Genomic DNA, 24,066 nt, shown 5'->3' on the forward strand with positions numbered 1-24,066 from the left:
CTTAAACTCATTGCTTATTAGTGATGAGACTTCACAGAAGTAGGGGTGAGAAGTGGGGGTGAGGGTAAGAGGAATAATGGAGCCACTTCTGCTGCTGCACATGAGTGGCACCTTCTTGCTTAAGCCTCACGGCAGCCATGTGGGCAAGGGGTTCTTCTGGTGCGGGGGAGGGAGTTAAGGTTAGGTGGCTTGCCTAGATCTATATTCGGGACATCTCAGAGCCTCAGCCTCCCCGTCCATGTAATAGCAATTGATCGACTCCCTCTGAATAGGGTGAACCTCTGTCCCTTTTGCCCTGGATGGGGATGCTCTAGGCCTGCTGTCCCTGCCATGGGTGACAGCACCCCTGTCACTCTTGAAAAGGTCCAGGTTCAGATGAAAAGTGCCACAGTGACCCTACTTCCAAGGCAAGGTATGAGGCTAGAAATGACCAATTGCCAGAAAGAGCTTGCCAGGGCAAAGGCATCACCTGGCAACATAGTCAGGGAAGACAGGGCCTGGGAGGGAAGCGCTGGGGCTGCCCAGAGAGGCATCTATCCAGGAAGCTGCACAGAAGGGGCTGAGGGTGCAGCTGAAGGACAAGCACCTGAATTCAAACTCTGACCTCACTCACAGAGCTCCCCGCTGCTGGCCAGCCCTGGTCAGAGGGACAGGCCAGGCAATAAGAGGAGAGCCAGCAGTGAGTCTCCCTGTTGGAAAGGGGCCACACATATGCAGTCAGGGGGCCTTGGGAGCAGCCCTGTCCCCACCCCTTCCTGATCCCACCCCACTAGAGAGGGAGCCCAGAGGTGGGTAAAGGGCCTACCATGCCCCGCGCCACTTCCTCCTGTGTGTCCTTGGCTACAGGACATCCCCTGCCTGAGCCTCAGCATCCACATCTGGAAGCTGGGAGTAATGAGAGTTGCTCACCTAGGGGGATGGGGTGAAAATTAAACAAGATTCTGCCGGCAAGGTCCTTGGGTTTGCCCACAGCTCCTCACAGCCTCCCTCTCTCTCCTATCTCTCACGTCCCTCCCTCCTCTCCCGTCATTGTCACTGTCCCCAGACCTCCTCCCTGTGCCCTCTTTCCACTCTCTCACCTCCTACTCCATTCAACTCCCCTGCTTTTCCAGAATCAGGGAAACTGAAGGATGGGCCTCAGTCTCTAAGGAAGGCAGAGACCTGGGTTGAGCAGCAGAATAAAAGATCTTCTTCTAAGAAATGCAAACAGGCTGTTCATCACCATCTCCAGGTGTTCACAGACACCAGCAAAGCAATGCACTCCTGACAAGTAGATTTTTTAAAAAATCAGAGTGAATTAATTTTAATTAAAAATTTATCTTATGTTTTGGCCGGGCGTGGTGGCTCACGCCTGTAATCACAACACTTTGGGAGGCCAAGGCAGGTGGATCACCTGAGGTCAGAAGTTCAAGACCAGCCTGATCAACATGGTGAAACCCTGTCTCTACTAAAAATACAAAAATTAGCCAGGTGTGGTGGTGTGTGCCTGTAATCCCAGCTACTCAGGAGGCTTAGGCAGGAGAATCACTTGAACCCGTGAGATGGAGGTTGCAGTGAGCTGAGATCCAGCCTCGGCGACAGAGAGGGACTCTGTCTCAAAAAAAAAAAATTAAGTTTCAAGAATTAAATTGTATGATTATGGTTAATACTCTGGGAATAGCTTTCGATTTATTAATGAAATGATTGTTTTAATTGGCTTTGAAGCTACACTTCTAAAATAAAATGTTAAGAATCTTCCATAATTTGTTAGGTAATTGTACCATGAATTGCAAGTGTGTAAATAAACACTAGGAAATGAATAAATGTCATTCCTTTTGGAGTGGACCTTCATGTGGGGCAAAAGTCACACTAACTCCTTCTGGGATGAGAAAACACAGCTAACCCTTCCGGGACAAGCACCTGAATTCAAACTCTGACCTCACTCACAGAGCTCCCCACTGCTGGCCAGCCCTGGCCGGAACGGACAGGCCAGGCAATAAGAGGAGAGCCAGCGGGGAGTCTCCCTGTTGGAAAGGAGCCACACGTGTAGTCAGGGGGCCTTGGGAGCAGCCCTGTTCCCACCCCTTCCGGATTCCACCCACTAGAGAGGGAGCCCAGGTGGGAAGGGTTCCACATGGAGGATGGACTCTGCCCCTGGACAGCAGCCCCCACTTCCCAACCTCAGCCATGGTGGGCACTGGTGCTCTCTTGCCTTTCCATCTGCAGAGCCTGAAGCCCCTGGGTCCAGCCTCCCGGCCCTGGTCACCCTGGACGACAGGATTGTCCAGAAAGGGCAGCCTTCCCCAGGTCTCCCCTTGGCAAACTTCTGCTCACATATCTGGGGCCAAACTGTGCCACAACGTTGACAGTGACTATATGGGCCTGGGGGAAAATAATTATTTAGTGGAGGGGATTAGAAGCAGCAGTGAGAGGGGATGGCGCAGGAGGGCAGGAAGAAGTCTGGCAGCCGTTTAGGCCCGAAGGGAAGAGCTAGTAGACTCAGATCCATGGAGAGATGGAAGGAAAGGAGAAGAGAGGAGGGAGGAGAGGGGCAGGGCAGGGCTGCAGGCAACTGCGGGAGGACAGGAGGCAGTGGACACGAAGGAGCCAGGAGGACAGGGGCGTGGGAACAGAGGGAGCTGGAGGGAGGTCTGTGGCTGTGGGGACCAGCAGAGCTGCCTGAGGGGCTGAGTAGGGTTCGGTCATTACATACAACAAGATCCAGGCCTGCGACCACGCTCAGGATCCAGGCTCTGCCCCCACATCTGCTCCTGCAGACGCAGCTCTCCTGCTGGTCACCTGGTGGCCCCCAGAGGGATGGCTGGCCATCTCCAGGCACTGGGCCTCATCCCAGGGAGGAAGAAAGAGGTCGTGGCTAAGCTGTGAGTGAGCCCCAGGGGACAGGGGGCCTGGGCCCTTGGAAGGTGGGGTTCTGGGGGACGGTGGTCCGGTCTCCCTGAGACCCGCCCTGTGACATGACTAACTGTGGGGTTCTTTCACCAGGGTGAGCCCCTCTTGCCTCCCTTACACTGGCCCCTTTGCCCAGAATGACTGCACAATTTTTATCACTTACTTCCAATGAGTGGAGTCAGGGCTGTTATCAAACCCAGAGACACAAGCAAAGGGCAGGGCGTCACGTGGGGGTGGTGAAGGCTTCTCTGGGGACCCTTCAAGCCTGGCTGCCATGAGGTGCCAGGGCAGGAAGCACACTGTCCTTCCTTAAGCTCCCACAGTGTGCCCAGCCCTTGATGGAAGTCTCAATTTAATTATAAATGCAGGCTTGAGGTTGCCAGTATCAATCATCTACCCAACTAATCTATAAACGAGTGCAATCACATTTAAAATGTTGATAGGGCTTTACTGGAACCTGACAAGCTGGTCATTGCATTCAGAGGACTTGGATCCACTCATTTGATTTTGAAAACTACGAGAGATAAAGAGAGTTAAGGTAGAAAATGTCAATACATGGCTGGGCATGGTGGCTCATGCCTGTAATCCCAGCACTTTGGGAGGCTGAGGCAGGCAGATCACCTGAGGTCAGGAGTTCAAGACCAGCCTGGTCAACATGGTGAAACCCTGTCTCTACTAAAAATACAAAAATTAGCTGGGTGTGGTGGTGCACGCCTGTAGTTCCCAGCTACTCAGGAGGCTGAGGCAGGAGAATCGTTTGAACCCGAGAGGCAGAGGTTGCAGTGAGCTGAGATCACATGACTGTACTCCAGCCTGGGTGACAGAACAAGACTCTTGTCTCAAAAAAAGAAAAGAAAAGTCCATACTATTTTAAAGCTATAACAATTGGAAGAGTGAGCTGTACAAAGTCTCAATACAGTTATAAAGCTATAACATTCAGAAGGGTGTGTGTAGGAGGGTGGACGGGTGCTCAGAAGGAAGCTCTAAAGCCACAAGGAGAAATTTCACCCCCTTTGGACTGGACATGGGCTGGGCTCTGGCAAATTGCACAATGCAAGGTGCTGACATTATTGCCCACTAGGTCACATTGCCTAAGAGTAGCAATTTATAAAATCTCATTAGAGAGTGCCTGTGTAAATTCTTTATTTCTGGGCCACCCGTGTACTTCCTCATTAGTAAGGAGGAGAATTAGGTGAAGCTCATGGTTGTGGATTGCTGCAGTTTGCACAGACTTTACAAAAAGAGCTTCAGCTGGTGTCCTGCCCCTCTAGGGCACTCACTGGGGCTTTCACGCTGGCATTGGAAAAGTGGGCATCGGCAAGTTCCGTGGCTGAAGAGGAAAAAGAAAAGCAAGCTTTCACCCGCCCTGGGTGAACTGTGAATTCTAAAGTGTGTCCCCAGGAATATTGGGAGACCTCAGCAGTTTACACTTGGTGGGTTGAACAGGGTTTGTTAGTATGAATTATTCATCCAATATTGAACACCTACCTGTGCACAGCACGCTTGCCTAGTGAAGAGAGCAGGGCTGCTGTTCCTGCTCTGTGCCCGGGTGGGAGGCAGACACAGGGGCTGTCATGGGAGAAGCTGGGCTCAAACAGCCCATGAAAAGGGACCCATGCACAGGCACAAAAGCCCCGAGGAAGAAGCCAGCTTGGTGCACTCGACGGAGCATCACCCACTTGGCTCAACAAATGTGTGGTGGTATGTGCATGTGTGTGTGTGTGTGCATGTGTGTCTCACACATGCGTATTTATCTACATATGCAAGAGGATAGGAAGAAATACAGGAAAACACTTTTGTAATCTTGTGGTTGAGAAAGCTGGCATAAACAAGGCACACAATGCCAGACACTATGGCCTTCAGGCCTCCCTGCCACGGGGATGCTGCCTTTTCTGCTCCGGGTGTTTCCACGAGGCAGGCATGGAATCTTCCCTGGACAAGCGACATACCGTGGAGAGACAGGTAAGAATTTCTACACATAGGAAGGGTGGAGCAGCCATGGTCTTAGATGTGAGCCCAAGGGAAGACAGCCTGATATATTTTACTGGGCCATATTTGAAATTTCTGCACAGCGGAAGACACCATACAGTAAACACAGGAGCCTGCGAGAGAACCTCTGCCGAGCACCAGTGAACGGCCAAGTGACACGAGTGACACCATGAGCTTGGTGCCCTCTCCATCCCAAGCCAGAGGCGGAAGCCAGGCCCTTCCTCCCAGCCCAGACTCCTACATCCCAAACTTGAGCCATGGCACACATGCTGGGCACTTACTCTGTGCATAGCAGAGGGAGCTGAGCTGCATCCAGAAACAGACCTAGGAGCTCACAGACCCAAGGCCTGGGTCTCCACCCCTGGAAGAGGGTGGTGCCGAGAGCAGGGCCCCCGGCTGTCACTGGCCCGGAGCTCACCGTGCAGGGGCAGCCCAGGCCCTCCGGGGATGGCACTGGGGTGTCGGAGGCCAAGGAGCAGAAACAGCTGTGGATGCTTCCCTCGGAGGACTGGGTGGGGCCGGGACCACCAGGACCTGCCCACCACCTTCTCTATGGGGCATCTGGCTGTGTCTGGGAGTATCTTGTGGAAGGGTCCTTTTTACCATGTGGGATCGGTGGTCCAGACTTGTCTGGGAGCCAAGGATACCAGGCATGTCAAGTAGGCTCTTCCAGAAGGTTTTCCCTCCTGGGATGTCTGTGTCTCTGCCCCTCTCCTGCTGCCTGCATCAGGAAGGGAGGGAGCAGATGGGCTGGTGAAGTGAGCAATGTCAGTCACATGCATGGACTGTCCAGGGCTCATTCTGTGCTGAGGGTCCTCCCGTGAATACGTGGCTCACCAGCGTCCCACCCCATAGAGAAGGTGGGGGGCTGGCCCTGGCAGCCAGGGCTGGAGTGGGAGGAGGTTGACCAGGAGCATGGGGGTGAGGGAGAAAGAGAGAGGGACCCCACTGTGCTGCCCTAGCACAAGGGACACTGGTCTTCCTGATTCCTGGCCTTCCACGAGGTGGGACGCCCCTCCTTCTCTGGGCTCCTTCTCTGCCCCGCGGGGTGGTGGATGCAGTAGGGACCTTCCACCTCAGGACCTCAGGAGCCGCATATGTGGTACACAGTGGGCCTCCTCGACAGCTGCTCATGAGCAAACAGGCCCAACTCCTTCTGGTGGCAAAGACACAGACACACACAGACACATAAGCACACACAGACAGTGACAGGACAGAAAGGAACCTTCCCCGGGGTTTCCCAGACACACCCAGATGTCTACCTCAGCTCTGCCCCAAGTCAGAGGATTGCAGCAATTCTTACCGTGAAGAGTGCTGGGGAAACCACGTCATCAACCCCGATCCTCTCGTTTTCATTTCTGGGTTCTGACAACAGCCCCAGCTCCACCCCTTGAAACAAGTGACCGAAAAATGGACAACATGTAGTCACTCTGGGCAAAGAGGCCACCCCAGTGGGGGTATGGGGGACAGAGGGCCCCACCCTGGGAGGACAGCACTGTCCCCTGTCCAAGGGCAGGTGCAGCCACCTCCTCCACCTCCCTATTCCCCCCACCCTTTGTCCCCCCCGCCCCCCCGAGCTTGGCCCCTTTGCTTGGAGAGATCCTTTGGTTTTTTCGATCACTTGCTTCTAGGCTGAGGAGGGCGGGGCTGTTGTCAGAGCCCAGAATCAAAGCCAGAGGAGCAGGTGGACGCTGAGACTGTCCCCTCACCCTGCTCCACGGGCAATGTTGAAGTGGGCATCTGGGTGTGTCTGGGGTATCCCAAGGAAGGGTCCTTTTCGTCATGTCACTCTGTTGGGGGCGGGGCACAGGAGCAGGGAGCCCTTTCTCTCCCGAGCTCCTCAGACTCCCAGCTTCCCTGGGTCTCATCTCAGAGCTTTGCCTATGACCTGGGAGCCCTGTGGGTCCAGGGGAGGGGACTGGACGCAGCCCCATGACAATGCTCAGACCTGGGCTAGGAACTGGAAGCCTGTGGTTCCTCTGGGCTGTAGGGGTTGGGGCCCCACAGTGATGGCAGAGCCAGGACCTCATACACAGCAGCATGGACTCCAGACCCGAGCGGGACCTCCGTTCTGGTCCCAGGGTGACCTGGGCTGAGTGGCCCAGCAATCAGGGACCACTTCAGGGTCCCTCTGCACTGGTCTGTCCCTCTCACCCAGTCTGGACCCCTGTGGGGCACTTGCCCTGTCCCCAGTTTTCCTTACAGGGGACCTGGGCAAAGCCCAGGGAAGCTTGCACCTGTTAAGGAGGCCATTCTCCTGCCTCCCCCTTGGGGATCCAGTTTCTTTCTCTCGCCTTGGACCTTCCCCAGGATCCTATGGAAACTCCAGCAAGACCTGGTATTTTATCACATTTTCACAGTTATCGCATTGATTGTTCAGCCAACATTCCAGGGACAGAAATGGGGGAGGGGCTGTCCTTCCCCAGGAAAGGGTGGAATCTCCTTCCGTCTTCCTTACAGTTGGCCTAGGGAAGGTGCACACTCTTAACCACCCCTGGGTTCCCCTGATGCCTTGAAGACCCTGCCTTGCCCTGGCTGCAGGGGGACCAGGAAGGGGCCAGTTGTGTCTGGGACATTCCTGCCGGGAGAGAGTCAGGCCCTAGTGCACAGAAGGATGTGGGTGTGGTCGGTGGGGGCACTGGCAGGGGGTAGGGCACATAAGTCCCTGGGGAGCTCACTCAGAGGTTCCAGGTTGTGGCCCTTATGGAAGTTCCTGGGTCCAGGGGCTAGAGTGAGACTGTTCCCCGCTCATGTCTGGGCTGCAGACGCCCAACCAGTGGCTCCCCCTGTCCACCCTTGGCAAGGGAGGGTCCTGGCCTCCCTCTCTGCTAGTGGGGACCCCCCAACACCCTGTCTTCTCTCCTCTCTGGAGCTCTGCCTGGGTGCATGGCTTGTACAGTGAGTTACTGAGAATTGAACTCTGGACAGTAGCTGGGCCCCACTTTGCTTTAAACATTTTAGTCTGAGGCCTTCTTTGTCATCAGATGAGAAGGTTCACAGATGTGCAGATGTGCTGATAGTCTAACCTGACTGGTTTGTAAAACTAGAAAGAGAAACAGACAATGTGCCTGTTTCTGTGATGGGCCATAAAGTGGATCTTACAGATTTGGAGACATTCTGGAAGATCTGGACCTGTCTGGATCAGAGAGGGGAGGCAGGCATGGGCCAGTCATGAATCCAGTGGGGCTTGGGCCAGCTGGGGCAGCAGGGAGGAGGACGTGCCCAGGGTGGGTGAGCTGGGGAGACCCTGGAACCCAAGGCTGAGGACCCAGAGCCAGGAGATGCAGGAGACGCCCCAGGGATGCTGAACAAAGCGCTGTCCCCTGTTGCAGCTCTCCTGGGTCTCCCCATAGAAAGCTCATGTGGGGGCTGTCCTGACCATGGGTCCAGGGGTGTATTTGCTCCAGGGGCATTTGATGCATTATTGAGCCAGGGGAAAGGCCATCACACTCTGGGCAGCAGGAGCCACCGGGAAGGGTTGGGGAAGGGTTGGATCCTCCCAAAGTTGGTACAAGTGTGGTCTCTGGCCCAGGTGGGCTGTGGGTACTGCGGGGCGTCCAGCTGTGCATGCCTCTGGTGTGAACTGGGAAGGGTGGCCTCTGGTCAGACTCACACAACACACCAAGATGAGCTCACACCAGAACCACCTGAGACTCAAATGGCAGTTGACTGCCCCCAGGGGACATCTTCTTGACTAGAAGAGTCCAACATCTGGAGACAGAATGGGAGGGGTCCTCACGGCAGAGAACAGGGCCTCTTCTAGTCTGTGGCGCCCACCAAAATGGCAGGGACACTGTGCTGAGGTGGGAGGATTGCTGGCCAAAGACAGGGGGGTCTAGTAAGAGCCAGAACAGGGGAGCAGGCAGGACAGGGGACAGCCCCTGGGCCCACAGGGCCAGCACCTTCCAGGGGCAGCTGTGCTGGGTGTAGCAGGTGGACCTGGGAAAGGACGGCGCCAGACCTGCCGCCAGGACTCAGGGGCTCACTTGGGGCAGGAGCACAGTGTCCCTCACATTTCTGCAGGGCCCAGAGGTGGGAGAAAGGGCACAGGGTGGCCCTTCTGACAGGGGGGTGGGGGTGTGTCCCTGCTGGGGACTCTGTTTCCTGGGAGGGCCTGGATCTCTAGGTACCTTTCAGAGCCTTTAGCATCTCCTCTGGGTAATGGGGATGAAAACACTCCTCCCTCTAGTTTACAATTATTAGATACACTGATGCATAGGAGGATGCAGGACCTGCTGGTCTCCCATCTTCACAGCCAGGGAAGAAGATGCAGGACCCTAACAGAGAGCACAGGATGCAGCAGGTGCCAGGGAGCCTGGACCAGGCACATCCTGCACTGGCCACAGGGGAGGACACAGGGGTGGCTGTCCTGGAGCCTGCTCTCTGGACCGCTGAGTGTTATTCAGGGTCTTTCTCCAGGGTGTGGACACCTGTCTTCTCACCTGCCCCCTGGTCTCCTGCCTTCCAGATTCCTGTGGCCCACAGGGAGCAAAGTGTGGCCAGCTCTACATCCCCATTGTCACTCCACAGTGTCTGGTGGTTCAGTGGTCAGAGTGGGCACATCAAAACCAAAGCTTGCCCAGAGGCATGGCAGAGAACTTCCTTGTTCTGACGCTAATGAGGGTGGCACACTCGGCCTGAGCTGGAGAAGGGGTGGGGCAGGGTATCGCTGACTCAGCAGCTTCCAGGTTGCTCTGATGATATATTAAGGCTCCTGAATCCTAAGAGAATGTTGGTGAAGATCTTAACACCACGCCTTGAGCAAGTCGCAAGAGCGGGAGGACACAGACCAGGAACCGAGAAGGGACAAGCACATGGAAGCCAGCCCAGCATCCGGGCCCAGGTATGGGAAGCCCCTCCGAGCACCTCTGCGCCTCAGCCTCCTCTTTGAGCTTTTCTGATGAGCACTCACCTCTCACCCTCAAACCCCTGGGGCCTCTCTTTTCCTCCTGACCCTCTCTCTGGACCTGGCCTCTTGCTCTAGGTTCCCAGTTTTGGTCCCAGCGCTGGTCTCTCCTCCGATGGTACCAATTCCAGGTCTCCTTCCACCTCCCGGGGCAGGTGCACAGGGAGCCTGAAAATCCCAATAGATAATGGTGCTGTGCCCCAGCCAGTGAAGACGGTCAGAGAGGGGATTCTCCTCACTTGTCTTTAAATGAGCATCTACTATTTCTTGCAAATGTTCCATGTATCTGGACTTGGCCTAAGCCCTTTTTATGTTCAGTGTCATCTCGTTCTCCCTAATATTAAGAAAAGGGGGTTGCTTGTAGGACTGCTTGGCTATGAGGAAGCCTTGTTTCCTTTTTTTGAGAACACAGAGCAAGTGAGTGGTAGAGCCCAGATTCATGCCCAGGTCTACTCGAAATGGTGGGGAACATTTTGAACCTTCCTTCCTTCTTTCCTTCCTTCCTTCCTCCTTCCTTCCTTCCTTCCTTCAATTCTCTCTCTCTTTCTTTCTTCTTTCTTTCTCTCTCTCTCTTTCCTTCTTTATTTCTTTTTCTTCTTTCTCTCTCTTCCCTCCCTCCTTCCTTCCCTTCTGTGCTTCCTTCCTTTCTTCCAATATTTCCCTTTCTCTCTTCCTCCCTTCCTTCCTTTCTCTTTCTTTCTTTCCTTCTTTCTTTCTTTTTCTTTCATTCTTTCCTTCTTTCTTTCTTTTACTTCCTTCCTCCCTCCTTCCTTCCTCTCTTTCTTCTTTCCTTTCCTTCCTTTCTTCCTTCCTTCCTCTCTTTCTCCCTTTCTCCCTCCCTTCCTTTCTTTTTTCTTTCTTTTCTTTCTTTCTTCTTTCCTTCTTTCTTTCTTTTCCTTCCTTTCTTTTTTCTTTCTTTCTTTCCTTCTTTTTCTTTTCCTTCCTTCCTCCCTCCCTCCCTTCCTTCCTTCCTCCATCTCTCTTTCTCTTTCTTTCTTTCTTTCTTTCTTTCTTTCCTTCCTTCTTTCTCTTTCCTTCTTTCTTTCTTTCTTTCCTTCCTTCTTTCTCTTTCCTTCTTTCTTTCTTTCTTTTGTGCTGCCTCCCAACAGAGATTTTTCTAATTCTGATTATGTCAGGATGCATAGAGAGGGGCTGGGAGAGGTCTTCAAGGTGGGGCTGGTGTTTCCAGCCCAGGAGTCCTGAGCTGCCCCATCTCAATTGCCTGAGAAGCACATTTGGGAGACCTCAGGGCACCCTAAGGGATGTGGAAAATCCTATGAATTACCCGAAAAGAAGTCCCTGGCAGGTTCCTCTCCCCAGTCATCCCCCTCAGGAGTGTCCCTGTCCCGATGCTCGGTGTGGTAGGAGTTAACCCTGCAGGCAGGAGGAAGCCCCAGAGGGTCCATCTCCAGCAGGGGCTGTGGGTGAGCAGAGCCAGGACAGGGGTGCATGGTGAGGCCACAGAATAAGACCCAGCTCTACCCCAGGGAGAGGAGCAGGGTCCTCCTCGGAGGGCCTGAGCACACTGAGCTGACCCTGGGGAGACCCTGACAAGGCTTAGACAGGCCCCAGGGCTGCAGTGATCTCCCAGTGAGCCATAGAAGGGGTCAGAGGGGGAGGTTTGGAAGTGTGCTAAGGGATGTGCGGAGCAGGGGGAAGGAGGGTGGGGTGCAAGGGAGGAAGTGTGGGGAGGGAGGAGGAGGCAGGGCAGTCCAGGAGGGCTCTTCCTCCTCTGGTCTTTTCCCTGGCTGTCCACAGACACTTGATGGATCCACACATATTCACTTCCAACTTTAACAATGGCATTGGAAGGCATAAGACCTACCTGTGCTACGAAGTGGAGCGCCTGGACAATGGCACCTCGGTCAAGATGGACCAGCACAGGGGCTTTCTACACAACCAGGTGACCGACCCAGCCATCCGAATCCGGGCAGGGCCCTTCCAATCCAGGGACATTCATAGGTAGAAGGTTCCGGATTGTACTTGTGGTTTCCTGCAGTGTTTGTCACTTGTGCTTCCTGCAGCTGCTGCTGCTTGGCCCTGGGGTTGGGGGGAGACTTCGGCTTCAGTGACTATCCATGCCCAGGTGGGGTTGAGTCTGCCCAATGGCAAAGTGCTTCCTGAGGACCCTCCCAGGATCCCCTCACAGACACAGCTCTCACCAGGAACAATTCAGCAATGTGGGATCTGAGGACTCAGGGCCTACCTGACCTCACAAGGCCAGGATGCCCCAGTGCCCTCTCCTGGGCTTCATCCTGCACGGAGAGAGACTGAGGCAGGAGAGGCTGACCAGGGATCCTGTCCTGCCCAGGGTGGAGCCCACAGCAAGGCCAGAACAGGTCCCATGTCAGGATGCAGGGATGTCCAGCATTTGGGGAGGAGCTGGGCCAGGCCAGGCTGAGGGGCCCTGAGCCCGGGGGACTTTCTTCCCTGGCCCCTACCCAGCACAGCCTCTGTCTGGAGAGACCAGGTAATGCTTGGCTCCGGTGCTGGAAACTGGGACCTTCTCTGGGCTCTATGAGCTCAATGTGGGCCTCGCTGGATCCACACACACTGCTTGGAACATCCTTTCAAGGGTGCCAGTCTCCATCACCGCCTAAGCAGTGGGACTCCCCCAGGAACGACCCACAGCCCCTTCTCAGCACAAACCATGTCATCCACTCCACCCTGCATCACTGCTGATGGAGTCCCTCCCTGTCTTTGTCCCCATCACAATCACAGTCCTTGCTGCCCTGCTGTCCCCAACTTGACCGATTCCTAGTCTTAGTGGAAAATCCTTTTCTCTGGAGTTTGGAGTAAATACCATATTTCTATAAGTCAAAATAATGACAATTATACCATGTCACAGGGACCTTCCCACGTTGGAGTGAGTCCTGCTGGTCTTCTCTTCCCCACTACTTTTGGTGGAATTCATTTTGGCCTAAGTCTATATCACATTTGGGCTCAGCACAGGTTGTGGCACAGAATAGAAGCTTCTAGAATTATGGGCCACAGATGGGATGGGAGTAGGGGAGTTGATGAGTAGAGCAGGTCAATCTCCCCTTGAAGGAAGCACACTCACTCAGGGCCATCAGGCCAATGACCTCGGGGCTCCGCCGGCCCCTCCTCCCTGCCCCCATCTCTGTAGCCCCTCCCTGCAGGGCTGGGTCTGGGGTGAGGGTCCTGAAGGCTCTGACCTTGGGTACAAAATTGATGGGGGCTCCAAATGCTCAGTAATTAGAGAAAACACATTTTAATTTAATAATTAATGCAATATTTTAAAACGCAAATTTAATACAAATAGATCATGATGAATAAAAGCAAAGATTTTAATAAAGCCTGGCAGGAGAGTGCTGTCCTGTGTATAGTGGAGCTGGGGCAAAATAAAACCTCATTGCTCCTGATCTGTTTGTATTTAAATGGGCAACATTTTGCTTATCTTGGGATTTTTGCATAACATCTGATATTTTTAATATTGCATAGAAAATCATGCATCCTAATAACCGGGGTTTTGGTGACCCCTCTAATTTCGTGCTGGAGGCCCCCGCCTCCCCAGCCCCACCTGGTCCAGGCGCTCCCTCCCTGTTCACCACACATCACCTCACACTCTGTTTCCTTTTCTAGGCTAAGAATCTTCTCTGTGGCTTTTACGGCCGCCATGCGGAGCTGCGCTTCTTGGACCTGGTTCCTTCTTTGCAGTTGGACCCGGCCCAGATCTACAGGGTCACTTGGTTCATCTCCTGGAGCCCCTGCTTCTCCTGGGGCTGTGCCGGGGAAGTGCGTGCGTTCCTTCAGGAGAACACACACGTGAGACTGCGTATCTTCGCTGCCCGCATCTATGATTACGACCCCCTATATAAGGAGGCACTGCAAATGCTGCGGGATGCTGGGGCCCAAGTCTCCATCATGACCTACGATGGTAAGAATGGAAGGTTCAGGTGGGGTGGGGTGGGTGGGGGCAGGAGAGGTTCCTGGGAAGAAAAGGAGAAAGGCCTTGGTCTGCTGCCTGCAGAAACGATGGCTGGACTCTGGGACCTGACTTTGGGGTCGATGGGAAGAGAGAGGCCAGGCCAGGAGATGTGGGCCCAGGGAGGGCAGGGAGAGTGGCTGGAAGTGGAAGCAGAACTTGGGGCTTTCTGAAAGAATGAGAACTGGGCTGGCCCAGATTCCAATGGGAAGGAACTGCCTGATGAAGGAGCTAAGTCCCTAGGGGAGGGAGAGGGAAAGGAGGGACTGAAACCAGGATGTGGGAAGTCTGTCCTGAGAGTCATGGGCCCTAGGTGCCACCCCGATCCCACAGCGGGAGCGTGACTTATCTCCCCTGTCCCTTTTCAGAATTTAAGCACTGCTGGGACACCTTTGTGGACCACCAGGGATGTCCCTTCCAGCCCTGGGATGGACTAGATGAGCACAGCCAAGCCCTGAGTGGGAGGCTGCGGGCCATTCTCCAGGTGAGGGCTTCCTCCCTCTGCCCGGTGCCCCATCGGCCTCCCCCTCCTCCCCACTCCCCTGGGCCTTGCCTTCCCCTCTGCTCAGAGCCTCCTCTGGGTTCCCTGCTCCCCACAGGGCGCCCAGCTCCGTCCCTCCCTTTCCTTCTCACAGCCTCCTTCTCTTTCCCACCTCCCGCATCCCTCCCTCCTCTCCCGTCATTGTCACTGTCCCCAGGCCACCTCCCTGTGCCCTCTTTCCACTCTCTCACCTCCTGCTCCATTCAACCCCCCTGCTCTTCCAGAATCAGGGAAACTGAAGGATGGGCCTCAGTCTCTAAGGAAGGCAGAGACCTGGGTTGAGCAGCAGAATAAAAGATCTTCTTCCAAGAAATGCAAACAGACCGTTCACCACCATCTCCAGCTGCTCACAGACGCCAGCAAAGCAGTATGCTCCCGATCAAGTAGATTTTTAAAAAATCAGAGTGGGCCGGGCGCGGTGGCTCACGCCTGTAATCCCAGCACTTTGGAGGCCAAGGCGGGTGGATCACGAGGTCAGGAGATCGAGACCATCCTGGCTAACACGGTGAAACCCTGTCTCTACTAAAAATACAAAAAATTAGCCAGGCGTGGTGGCGGGCGCCTGTAGTCCCAGCTACTCTGGAGGCTGAGGCAGGAGAGTAGCGTGAACCCGGGAGGCAGAGCTTGCGGTGAGCCGAGATTGCGCTACTGCACTCCAGCCTGGGCGACAGTACCAGACTCCATCTCAAAAAAAAAAAAACCAGACTGAATTAATTTTAACTGAAAATTTCTCTTATGTTCCAAGTACACAATAGTAAGATTATGCTCAATATTCTCAGAATAATTTTCAATGTATTAATGAAATGAAATGATAATTTGGCTTCATATCTAGACTAACACAAAATTAAGAATCTTCCATAATTGCTTTTGCTCAGTAACTGTGTCATGAATTGCAAGAGTTTCCACAAACACTAGCAAATGTGTAGATGTCTTTCCTTGTGTAGCGGACCTGTAGCGGGGAAAGGTCACACAACATCCCTCTGGATCCAGAAAACTCAGCTAAACCTCACAGGAGAGGAACCTAAATGCAGACCCCACCCTCACTCACAGAGCCCCGCCCACCCTCACTTACAGAGCCCCGGGCGCTGATTGGAAGGGACAGGCCCAGCAGTAAGAGGACAGCCAGCAGCCAGTCTCCCTGTTGGAAAGGAACCACAAACGTGCAGTCAGGGGCCCTCGGGAGCCGCCCTCTGTCCACCCCTTCCTGATTCCACCCCCCTAGAGAGGGAGCCCAGGGGAGGCCATGGCTGAGACCCAGGACAGGCCCAGTCGGGGGAAGGAGCCCAGGGAGGGGGCAGGTGTCTAGGCTGGGCCCAAAGAGAGGGCTGGGGAGAGGAGCAGCCCAGGAGGCAGAGCCCAGCCACAGAGGGGAGGGGAGCTGAGTCCCGGGGACAGGAGGCTCCAGAGGCAGAGACGGAGCCCAGGGCTAGGGCGGCAGGTGTCAGGGCTGTGGCTTCAGCTTGGCGTCTGTCCTGGGCCTTCTGCGCTGGTTCCCAACTCTGGGATGTGTGACTTATATGCCTGATTACAGCGGCGGCTCCCACCTCACGATTTCTGGAAAGTCCTCAGAAGCCGCATATAAGACCAAGAACGGGCCTCACATGCAGCTGCTCCTGGGCAGAAACGACTCACTGTTTCCCTGGCCTAGACACACACAACACACAAACACACACAAGACACACATACACACAACACACACAACACATACACACACAACACATGCACAAAACACATACACACACACACCCACACACAGTGACAGAGACTTCACACAAAGAAACCTCCTCCAGGTGCCCCAGAGCACTCCGGGGCGCACCCCAGCCCCGCCCTGAGCAGAGGACTTTGGCATTTCCCACGCAGGGGCGGGTGCGGGAGGGACCGGCTTGTCAAAGCTGCCCTTTGCTTGTGTCTCTGGGTTTGATAACAGTCCTAACTCCACTTGTTGGAAGCAAGTGATGAAAAACGTGCAGTCATTCTGGGCAAAGGGACCAGTGTAGGGGAGGCATGAGAGGCTCACCTGGTGAAAGAACACCAGAGTTAGTCATGTCACAGGGCAGCTCCCAGAGAGACCTGCCCCTCGTCCCCCAGAACCCCACCTTCCAAGGGCCCAGGCTCCTGTCCCCCGGGCCTCAACTCACAGCTTTGCCCATGACCTGGGAGCCCTGGGGGTCCTGGTGAGGTGACTGGACACAGCCTCATGACACTGCTGGGACCTGGGCTGGGAACTGAGAGCCTGTGGTCCCTCTGGGCTGTAGGGGTCGGGGCCCCACAGTGGCGGCAGAGCCGGGACCTCGTACACAGCAGCATGGACTCCAGACCCAAGTGGAACCTCCATTCTGGTCTCAGGGTGACCCGGGCTGCACAGCCCAGCACCTGCCCAGGGTCCCTCTGCCCTGCTCTGTCCCTCAATAGTCTGGACCCCTGCTGGGTACTTGCCTTGTCCCCCCCTTACAGGGGACCAGGGTGAATCTTGGGCGAAGCCTGCACCTGTGAAGGAGGCCATTCTCCTTGCTCCCATCCCTGCCGCCCACATGGGGAACCAGCTCCTTCTTGTTCCTGGGGACCTTTCCTGGGCTCTGGTGGAAACTCCAGCGGAATGTGGGGTCTTTCATTTTCCCTCAGTGTTGCAGAGGCCGAAATGGAGAGGGGCTGTCACTCCCCAGGAAAGGGCACAATCTCCTTCCTTCCCTCCAGCTGGCCCAGGGACGGTGCACACTCTTATCCTAGTCACCCTGAGGACTGCAGCCCTGGTATGAGCCCAGAGTCACCCCCAGGTTTTATGGATGCCTTACACACTCTGCCCTGGCCTGACCTCAAGAGGACCAGGAAGTGCCCAGTTGTCACTGGGTTTTGCTGCCCTGAGAGAGTCAGGCTCCAGTGCACAGAGGAACGTGTGTGTGCAGGGTGGTGGCACTGTCAGGGGGCACAGCAATCCCAGGGGAGCGTGCCCTGCTGTTCCAGGTTGTGGCACTTATGGAAGATCCTGGGTCCAGAGGCTGGAGTAAAATCGTTCCCACTCACATCTAACCTACCCTGGGCTGGCTCGTGGGAGTCAAAGGCCCAGACAGTGGCTGGCCCTGTCCATCCTTGGCCAGGGAGGGTCCTGGCCTCCCTCTGCGCTGGGGGGGGAGCCCCACTCACCCTCTCTTCTTTCCTCTCTGGAGGCGCTGCCCTGCTCTCCGGCTTGTACAATTTGCTACTGAGAATTTAACTCCAGACAGTATTTTTGCCCCAATTTGCTGTAAACATTTGAGCCTGAGGCCATGTTTGTCATCAGATGAAGTGGTTTACAGATGTGAAATTGTTGTTTGTAGTCTAACATTTCTGGTTTGTAAACCCATCCGTGATGGGCTCCCAGCCCAACCCGCTGCAGATGAGGCCGCTGAGTTTCTGTTGAGAATGAAGACCGGGTTCCCAATTAGGGCAACTCGTCCCTCACACTGCTCCTTACACCCCCATCTTCCAGATCCCAGCCAAGCCCCCTCCACCCAATACACCCCAGCGTCCTTGCATCCAATTAACATCTCAGAGTGGCCACCTTTGCAGAGACCTGGCTGGGGAGGGAGGTCACAGTAAAGACACAGCCTGGCTCCTGTGGGCCCCCTGGGGACAGCAGCCCTGCACACACACTCTGGGCCTTTCTCTCCCCCTTTCAGCCTTGTCCTTGGATATCCCCCAGGTCACTCTTGCTCAGGACCAAGCAGATTGACTGGGGACAGCAAATGTAACCATAAAAGGGGATTCTACAAGGACTCCCCTCAGGGAGCAGGTGCCAGCGGTGGGGACTGGGGAGTAGATAAGAGGTGGCTGGGAGCTAGGATAAGAGCGACAGCCCAGAGTTCCTGGATCCTGGCTGAGGCTGGGTCCCGGGCCCCAGGACAGTCCTGCAGACCCCAGAATCAGAGACTGAGGAGTCAAAGACAGGCAGGAGACGCCCCTGGGGATGCCCAGCAAAGCACTGTCCCCTGCGTGCAGCTTTCCCGGGTCTCCCCACAGAAAGCTCAGTGAGGGCTGTCGTGGCCACTGGCGACCCAGGCACATTTGCTCCGGTAAGAGGCCATTGCTCTGGGAAGCAGCAGCCACACAGGAAGAGTTGGGGGAGGGCAAGGGCTCTGCCCTCCGAGGGTCCTGCAGGGCACAGGGTCTGCATAGCAGGAACCCCAGACTCTTTGTGCCCCACCCCCACTCTAACTCAGAGCTCTGTGCTAAGGAGAGCCTTATCATGCCCTCGGTGGATTCAGAAGCACTTTGTAGGGCTGAGTGACGAAACATTTGGGGCTGGGAGTAGAGCTGGCTGGGTCAGGACGACACCCCCTCCTGGAAGGGCAGGCCTGTGGGGGGCACAAGCAGGGACAACAGCCCATTCGTGTCTGCTGGTACAGGTGCAGTCTCTGTGCAGGTGGGCAGTGGGTACTGCAGGGCACCATGCTGTGTGTGCCTCGAGTGTGAACTGGGAAAGGTGGTCTCTGGTCAGACTCACACAACACACCAAGATGAGCTCACACCGGAACCACCCGAGACTCAATTGGGAGTTGACAGCCCCCAGGGGATATCCTCTTGACTAGAGAAGTCCAAGGTCTGGAGACAGAATGGGAGGTGGCATCCTCATGGCAGAGAACAGGGCCTCCTCTGGTCTGCCCATGAGGAGTGGTGCCCACCAAGATGGCAGGGACACTGTGCTGAGGAGGGTGGATCACTCCCACCTTCTTCTGAGGTTTCCACCTCAGCGAGCACCGGCCAGGCTGGGAGGGCGAGGAGCTGTGCTTGGTCCGGGTGGCCAGGGTGGGACTGTCCCCAGGATGTGGACTCTCTTGCATGAGACAGCTGGCCAAGGATGGGGGGTCTAAGAGGAGCCAAGACAGGGGAATCAGCAGGACAGGGGGCAGCCCCCAGGCCCACAGGGCCAGTGCATTCTTCGGGCAGCTGTGCTGGGTGCAGTAGGTGGACCTGGGAAAGGATGGCGCCAGACCTGCCGTTGGGACTCAGGGGCTCACTTGGGGCAGGAGCACAGCTTCCCACACATTTCTGCAGGGCTGGAGGTGGGAGAAAGGGCACAGGGTGAGCCTTCTGAGGGCATTTGTGTCCCTGCATCACTCTGCTCACTGGGAGGGCCTGGGCAAGTCTAGGTACCTTTCAGAGCCTCTCGTATCTCCTCTAGAGGAGTAATGGGGATGAAAGCACCCCTTGCTCTAGTTTGCCGTAATTAGATGGACTGACACAAACAAGGGCTCAGCATGTCTGTCTCCTTCCCTTCCCAGGGCCTGGGATCAAGACCCAGGACACACTCTGCTCTCTGCACTGCACGCCCTGCAGGGCCCTGGATGCAGCAGGCATGCCCTGTGCTGGCTATAGTAGGGGACGTAGGGTCGGCTGCTCTGGAGCCTACTCTCTGGGGGCGCTGAGTCTTATTCGAGACCTTTCTCCAGGGTGTGGATACCTGTCCTCCTGCCTGTCCCCTGGCCTCCTGCCTTCCTGGTCCCTGCTGCCCAAAGTGACTGAAGTGTGGCCAAGGCTCGCTTTCCTCATTGTCACTCCACAGCATCCCTGTAGGGCTATTGTCAGAGCAGGGAAATCAAAACCAATGCTTGTGGGAAGACACAGCAGAGAACTTCCTTATTCTGTGACACTGATGTGGGTGGCACAGGGGACCTGAGTTCAGGAAGGGGTGGGGCAGGTCATTGCTGACCCAGCAGCTTGCGGTCACTCTGAAGTGATGTAAGCCTCCTGTGTCCTAAGAGCAACCAGAGGAGGACCACAGGAGCACATGCTGTGACCGTCACAGAAGCAGGAGGACCCTGACCTAGGAACCGTGAAGGGACTAGGACATGATGGCTAATGGCTAACACGGTGCTGACAGCCAGTCCTGCAGCCTCTCGAAGCCTCTGCTCCTGAGCCTCCTCCTCGGGTTCCTTGGTGATGGTCACTTGCCTCCTGCCCTCCAGGGGCTCCTTCTGGTTCCCTTGGGGACTGTCCTCTCCCCTTAACCCTCTCTGGACCTGGCTTCTGCTCTAGGCTCCCAGCCCTGTTCCCAGCCCCAGTCTCTAGTCTGATGCTATCTATTGAGTCTCCTCCTGCTCCTGGGGCAGGTGTGCAGGGGGGCAGCAAATCCCAGGTGATGGCACTGTGCCCAGGGGGCGAAGACGGTTGGAGAGAAGATTCTCCTCACCCACCTTTAGAGTGGCACCCACCATTTCTGGCAAATGCACCATGTCTCCCCTCTGGGCTAAGCTCTTTTCGCGCCCAATCCAACCCTATCTTACCCAATATTGGGAATAGGGAGTTGCTCCCGACACCACCGTGCTACGAGGAAAAGCCATTCTTTCCTTTTCCTGTGAACACACAGAGGGTAAGTGGTAGAGCCCAGATTCACACCGGTGTCTATGCAAAACCATAGGCAGCACTGAGATTTCCCTAAGGCCAGGCTCATTAGGGTTATGTAGGGTGCACAGAGCGGGGCTGGGAGAGGCCTGCAAGGCCCAGTAGGTGCTTCCTGCCCAAGAGTCCTGAGGTGGCCCACCTGGCTAGAGAAGCATGGTCGTTGCTTGTTTGGCAGAACACAGGACTGTTGTGGTATCCTTCATTGCCGTGTTCATGTATATAATTTAAATTAAAATGTAAAATTAAAGAAAAGAAAGAAAGACGTTAGAGCAGCCCCGGTCAGCCCCGGTCCTGGGAGGTATCACCCAGGTTGTGGGCTTTGCACTCCTCTCCCATATGATCACAGCTCCCCTCGGCCCCGGTGGCCCCCCTGCCACGCCGCCTTGAATTTGACAATGCCACATTAGAAGTCTTGGTCTTAATCCTGAATGTTTCTTTTGCCCACCTTCCCTTTCATTCGCCCAGCTGTTTCAACCCCAAAACGCTGCTTCCTCCCCTTCCTCTCACTTCCATATCTAATTAGTAACTCACTCTGGCTGAATTCATCCCCACAATTCACCCCCAATGTACCCTGACTGCCATCACTGTCACCTGTCGCCTGGGATGTCTGACAGTCTCCGGTTCACCAGCTCAGCTCCCATTCCCTTTGCATGCAGCTACTGGAGTGACTTTGTTTTTTTCTTTTTTTAGAGATAAGCTCTGTCTCTGTCACCCAGGCTGGAGTGCTGCAGCGTGATCATATCTCACTGCAGCCTCGAACTCCTGAGCTCAGGCAATCCTCCAATCTCAGCCTCCTGAGTAGCTGGGACAACAGGACCATGCCACCATGCCTGGGGAATTTTTTGTAGAGACAGGGTCTTGCTATGTTGCCCAGGCTGGTCTTCAAACTCCTGGTCTCAAGCAATCCTCCATCCTTGACCTCCCATAGTGCCAGGATTACTGGCATCAGCCACCTGGCCCAGCTCTGGAGTGACTCTTCAAAAGAAAAACCAGGTCATGTCACTGTTTGGTGACATGAAACAACCCCTACCCCAACCACACATGGATATGCACATGTACACATGCATGTAGGCTCACACACCCATGTATGCATGTGCACGTGCATGTGGGCACATGCGGGAGGGTACACCCAGTTGTTGTCTTTTAAAATGAAATCGAGGCCGAGTGCGGTGGCTCACACCTGTAATCCCAGCATTTTGGGAGGCCGAGGCGAGTGGATCGCTTGAGGTCGGGAGTTGGAGACCAGCCTGGCCAACATGGTGAAACTGTGTCTCTATTAAAAATACAAAACTTAGCTGGGCATGGTAGCAGGCGCCTGTAATCCCAGCTACTCAGGAGGCTAAGGCAGGAGACTCGCTTGAAGCTGGGAGGCAGAGGTTGCAGTGAGCCGAGATGGCACCACTGCAATCCAGCCTGGGGGACAGAGCAAGACTCTGTCTCAAAAAAAAAAAAAAAAAAAGAAATTTACATTTTTCCCAATGACCCATGAGACTCCCTCCTCCCGTGCCAGCTTTGTCACCCTCTACTTTTTTTTTTTTTTTTTTTAAGACGGAGTTTCTCTGTTGTTGCCCAGGCTGGAGTGCAATGGCACAATCTTGGCTAACCACAACCTCCACATCCTGGGTTCAAGTGATTCTCCTGTCTCAGCCTCCGAGTAGCTGGGATTATAGGAATGCACCACCATGACCAACTAATTTTGTATTTTTAGTAGAGACAGGGTTTCTCCATGTTGGTCAGGCTGGTCTCGAACTCCCGACCTCAGGTGATCTGTCCGCCTCAGCCTCCCAAAGTGCTGGGATTACAGGTGTGAGCCACCGCGCCCAGCTCCTCTACTTGTTTTCTATGCTGTCTGGCTGGTGTCTGTTCTAGTCCAGGTCACCCAGCCCTCTCTCGCCTCAGACCACGGCACCTGCCATTCCCTCTCTCTGGACAAAGCTTCCCTCGGCTCTTCCCACTGCTATCCCTTCTCTCCCTCAGGATTCAGTTCCCAAGTCACCTCCCCTGGCCTCTTAAAGCGAGCTGCCCACACAGTTCCCTTCTGCCCCATCTCCATGTCTATTTCCTGCACCGCCCTTGTTACAAACCAGATTTATCTTCCCTGTGTGTAGATTCTCATTTCTTGACCATCTGCCTCCACTTCCCATAAACGCACTGAGGTCAGAGTCCACTGCTTCCTGCCCATGCCTCGACGGCAGTGCTGGCAGCCAGCCTTGCCCCCTGGGTAGGAATCCATTTACAATTGTTGAAAGAAAAAAAATGAATGATTAAAAACAGTATAAAGGAATGAGAAAACGGTGGATGGTAATACACAAATTATTCATTAGCCCCAAGGAGTGGGCTAGGAGGTACACAGAGTGGACAGTCACATCCTCTGTGATACCTGTTTGTATTGGGCTCTTGAGTAATTGACAGAATGATAACACTGCCACCAGAGATGAGCTTTCCATGACGACCAAGGTGGAGGAGTCAGATTCTGGGTGCTGCGGCCAAAATACACGTTTCAAAATAAATGGGTAAAGAAATTCGTCACTGGAGACTGCATAAAGGTTGGGGCAATTGCCAGAGCCTTGCATGGAGAATCACACCTGCTTCAAAGATCCATTTCTGTGCTACAAACCACCCCACCTTAAAGCTTACCATAAGGTGTATTGTTCAGGCTTCTGTGGATCAGGACTCAGATGACCTGTCCACTGGATGAGCCAGCAGCTGGCTCACTCGTGCAGCTACAGTCGGAAGGCGGCCAGGCGGGCTGGATGGTGCCCAGTGGTCTCACTTACCTGCCTGGTACTTGGTGTGGGCTATCAGCCAGGCACCCAGCTGGGCTGTCAGATGCTCTCCCTGTGGTCACCCCATGCATCCAGCTTGAGCTCCCTCACCGAATGGCATCTGGGTTCCAAAATACCAAGTCTGGTCAAGACTCTGCCTACATCACACTTGCTAATGCCCTGTTGGCCAAGGTAAGTGGTCAAGCTCAGTGTTGATATGGGAGGACGAGGCTGGGCATGGTGGCTCTCACCTGTTATTCCAGCACTTTGGAAGACCAAGGCGGGTGGATCGCTTGAGGCCAGGAGTTCAGGACCAGCCTGGGCCATATGGTGAAACCCTGTTGCTACCAGGTGTGCACCTGTAGTCCCAGCTACTCCAGAGGCTGAGACAGGAGGAGAATTTGAGCCCAGAAGGTGGAGGTTGCAGTGAGCCATGATGGTACCACTGCACTCCAGCCTAGGTGACAGAGCGAGATGCTTTTCAAAAAGAAAATATACGTGTATGTGTGTGTGTGTTTGTGTGTGTCTGTGTGTTGTGTGGGAAGCCAGTCACAAGGATGTGAATATCAGGGGGTGTGTTTCACTGGGGATCGCCAACATGACAGTTTATCAGTCTTCCCTGTGTGCCAATGCATCTTACTCCACCCACTTG

General features: G+C 54.8%; 1 protein-coding gene and 2 long non-coding RNA genes across 6 annotated transcripts, besides 4 other annotated features; 1 reads left to right on the top strand and 2 right to left on the bottom strand.

Moving 5' to 3' along the window:
• Positions 1,606-2,456: an enhancer, noted in NCBI's record as "H3K27ac-H3K4me1 hESC enhancer chr22:39345610-39346460 (GRCh37/hg19 assembly coordinates)". NCBI's record gives its function as "activates a minimal SCP1, AML or CMV promoter by ChIP-STARR-seq in naive H9 embryonic stem cells {active_cell/tissue: H9 hESC(naive)}" and the evidence as "EXISTENCE:reporter gene assay evidence [ECO:0000049][PMID:30033119]".
• Positions 6,323-7,202: an enhancer, noted in NCBI's record as "H3K4me1 hESC enhancer chr22:39350327-39351206 (GRCh37/hg19 assembly coordinates)". NCBI's record gives its function as "activates a minimal SCP1, AML or CMV promoter by ChIP-STARR-seq in primed H9 embryonic stem cells {active_cell/tissue: H9 hESC(primed)}" and the evidence as "EXISTENCE:reporter gene assay evidence [ECO:0000049][PMID:30033119]".
• Positions 9,610-15,185, top strand: APOBEC3A (apolipoprotein B mRNA editing enzyme catalytic subunit 3A). 2 transcript variants are annotated; one of them, NM_145699.4, is made up of 5 exons: positions 9,610-9,721; positions 11,543-11,687; positions 13,388-13,682; positions 14,099-14,214; positions 14,496-15,185. In NM_145699.4, exons 1-5 carry the CDS (start codon positions 9,693-9,695, stop codon positions 14,508-14,510), a joined length of 600 nt encoding a protein of 199 aa, NP_663745.1. In that variant the 5' UTR covers positions 9,610-9,692; the 3' UTR covers positions 14,511-15,185. The 2 variants fall into 2 exon arrangements, with proteins under 2 accessions (NP_663745.1, NP_001257335.1); NM_001270406.2 differs by having other exon boundaries at positions 11,597-11,687.
• Positions 15,381-16,190: an enhancer, noted in NCBI's record as "H3K4me1 hESC enhancer chr22:39359385-39360194 (GRCh37/hg19 assembly coordinates)". NCBI's record gives its function as "activates a minimal SCP1, AML or CMV promoter by ChIP-STARR-seq in naive H9 embryonic stem cells {active_cell/tissue: H9 hESC(naive)}" and the evidence as "EXISTENCE:reporter gene assay evidence [ECO:0000049][PMID:30033119]".
• LOC105373033 (uncharacterized) lies at positions 15,905-19,854 on the bottom strand. Of its 3 annotated transcripts, XR_007068098.1 has the most exons (4): positions 19,709-19,854; positions 18,975-19,114; positions 17,413-17,661; positions 15,905-16,288 (listed from the first exon to the last, which is right to left on the bottom strand). It is a non-coding gene; the product is annotated as an uncharacterized LOC105373033 (long non-coding RNA). The 3 variants fall into 3 exon arrangements; XR_007068099.1 differs by having other exon boundaries at positions 18,975-19,854; XR_007068100.1 differs by lacking the exons at positions 18,975-19,114; positions 19,709-19,854 and adding an exon at positions 18,752-18,833.
• Positions 17,626-18,605: an enhancer, noted in NCBI's record as "H3K4me1 hESC enhancer chr22:39361630-39362609 (GRCh37/hg19 assembly coordinates)". NCBI's record gives its function as "activates a minimal SCP1, AML or CMV promoter by ChIP-STARR-seq in primed H9 embryonic stem cells {active_cell/tissue: H9 hESC(primed)}" and the evidence as "EXISTENCE:reporter gene assay evidence [ECO:0000049][PMID:30033119]".
• Positions 19,855-20,113: 259 nt separating the features above from the next.
• On the bottom strand, positions 20,114-21,368 carry LOC124905118 (uncharacterized). Its single transcript, XR_007068101.1, has 3 exons — positions 21,241-21,368; positions 20,789-20,846; positions 20,114-20,600 (listed from the first exon to the last, which is right to left on the bottom strand). It is a non-coding gene; the product is annotated as an uncharacterized LOC124905118 (long non-coding RNA).
• Between the last annotated feature and the right edge of the window lie 2,698 nt (positions 21,369-24,066).

The sequence above is a fragment of the Homo sapiens genome, chromosome 22 (genome assembly GCF_000001405.40).
Source record: "Homo sapiens chromosome 22, GRCh38.p14 Primary Assembly".
Classification (NCBI taxonomy): domain Eukaryota; kingdom Metazoa; phylum Chordata; class Mammalia; order Primates; family Hominidae; genus Homo; species Homo sapiens.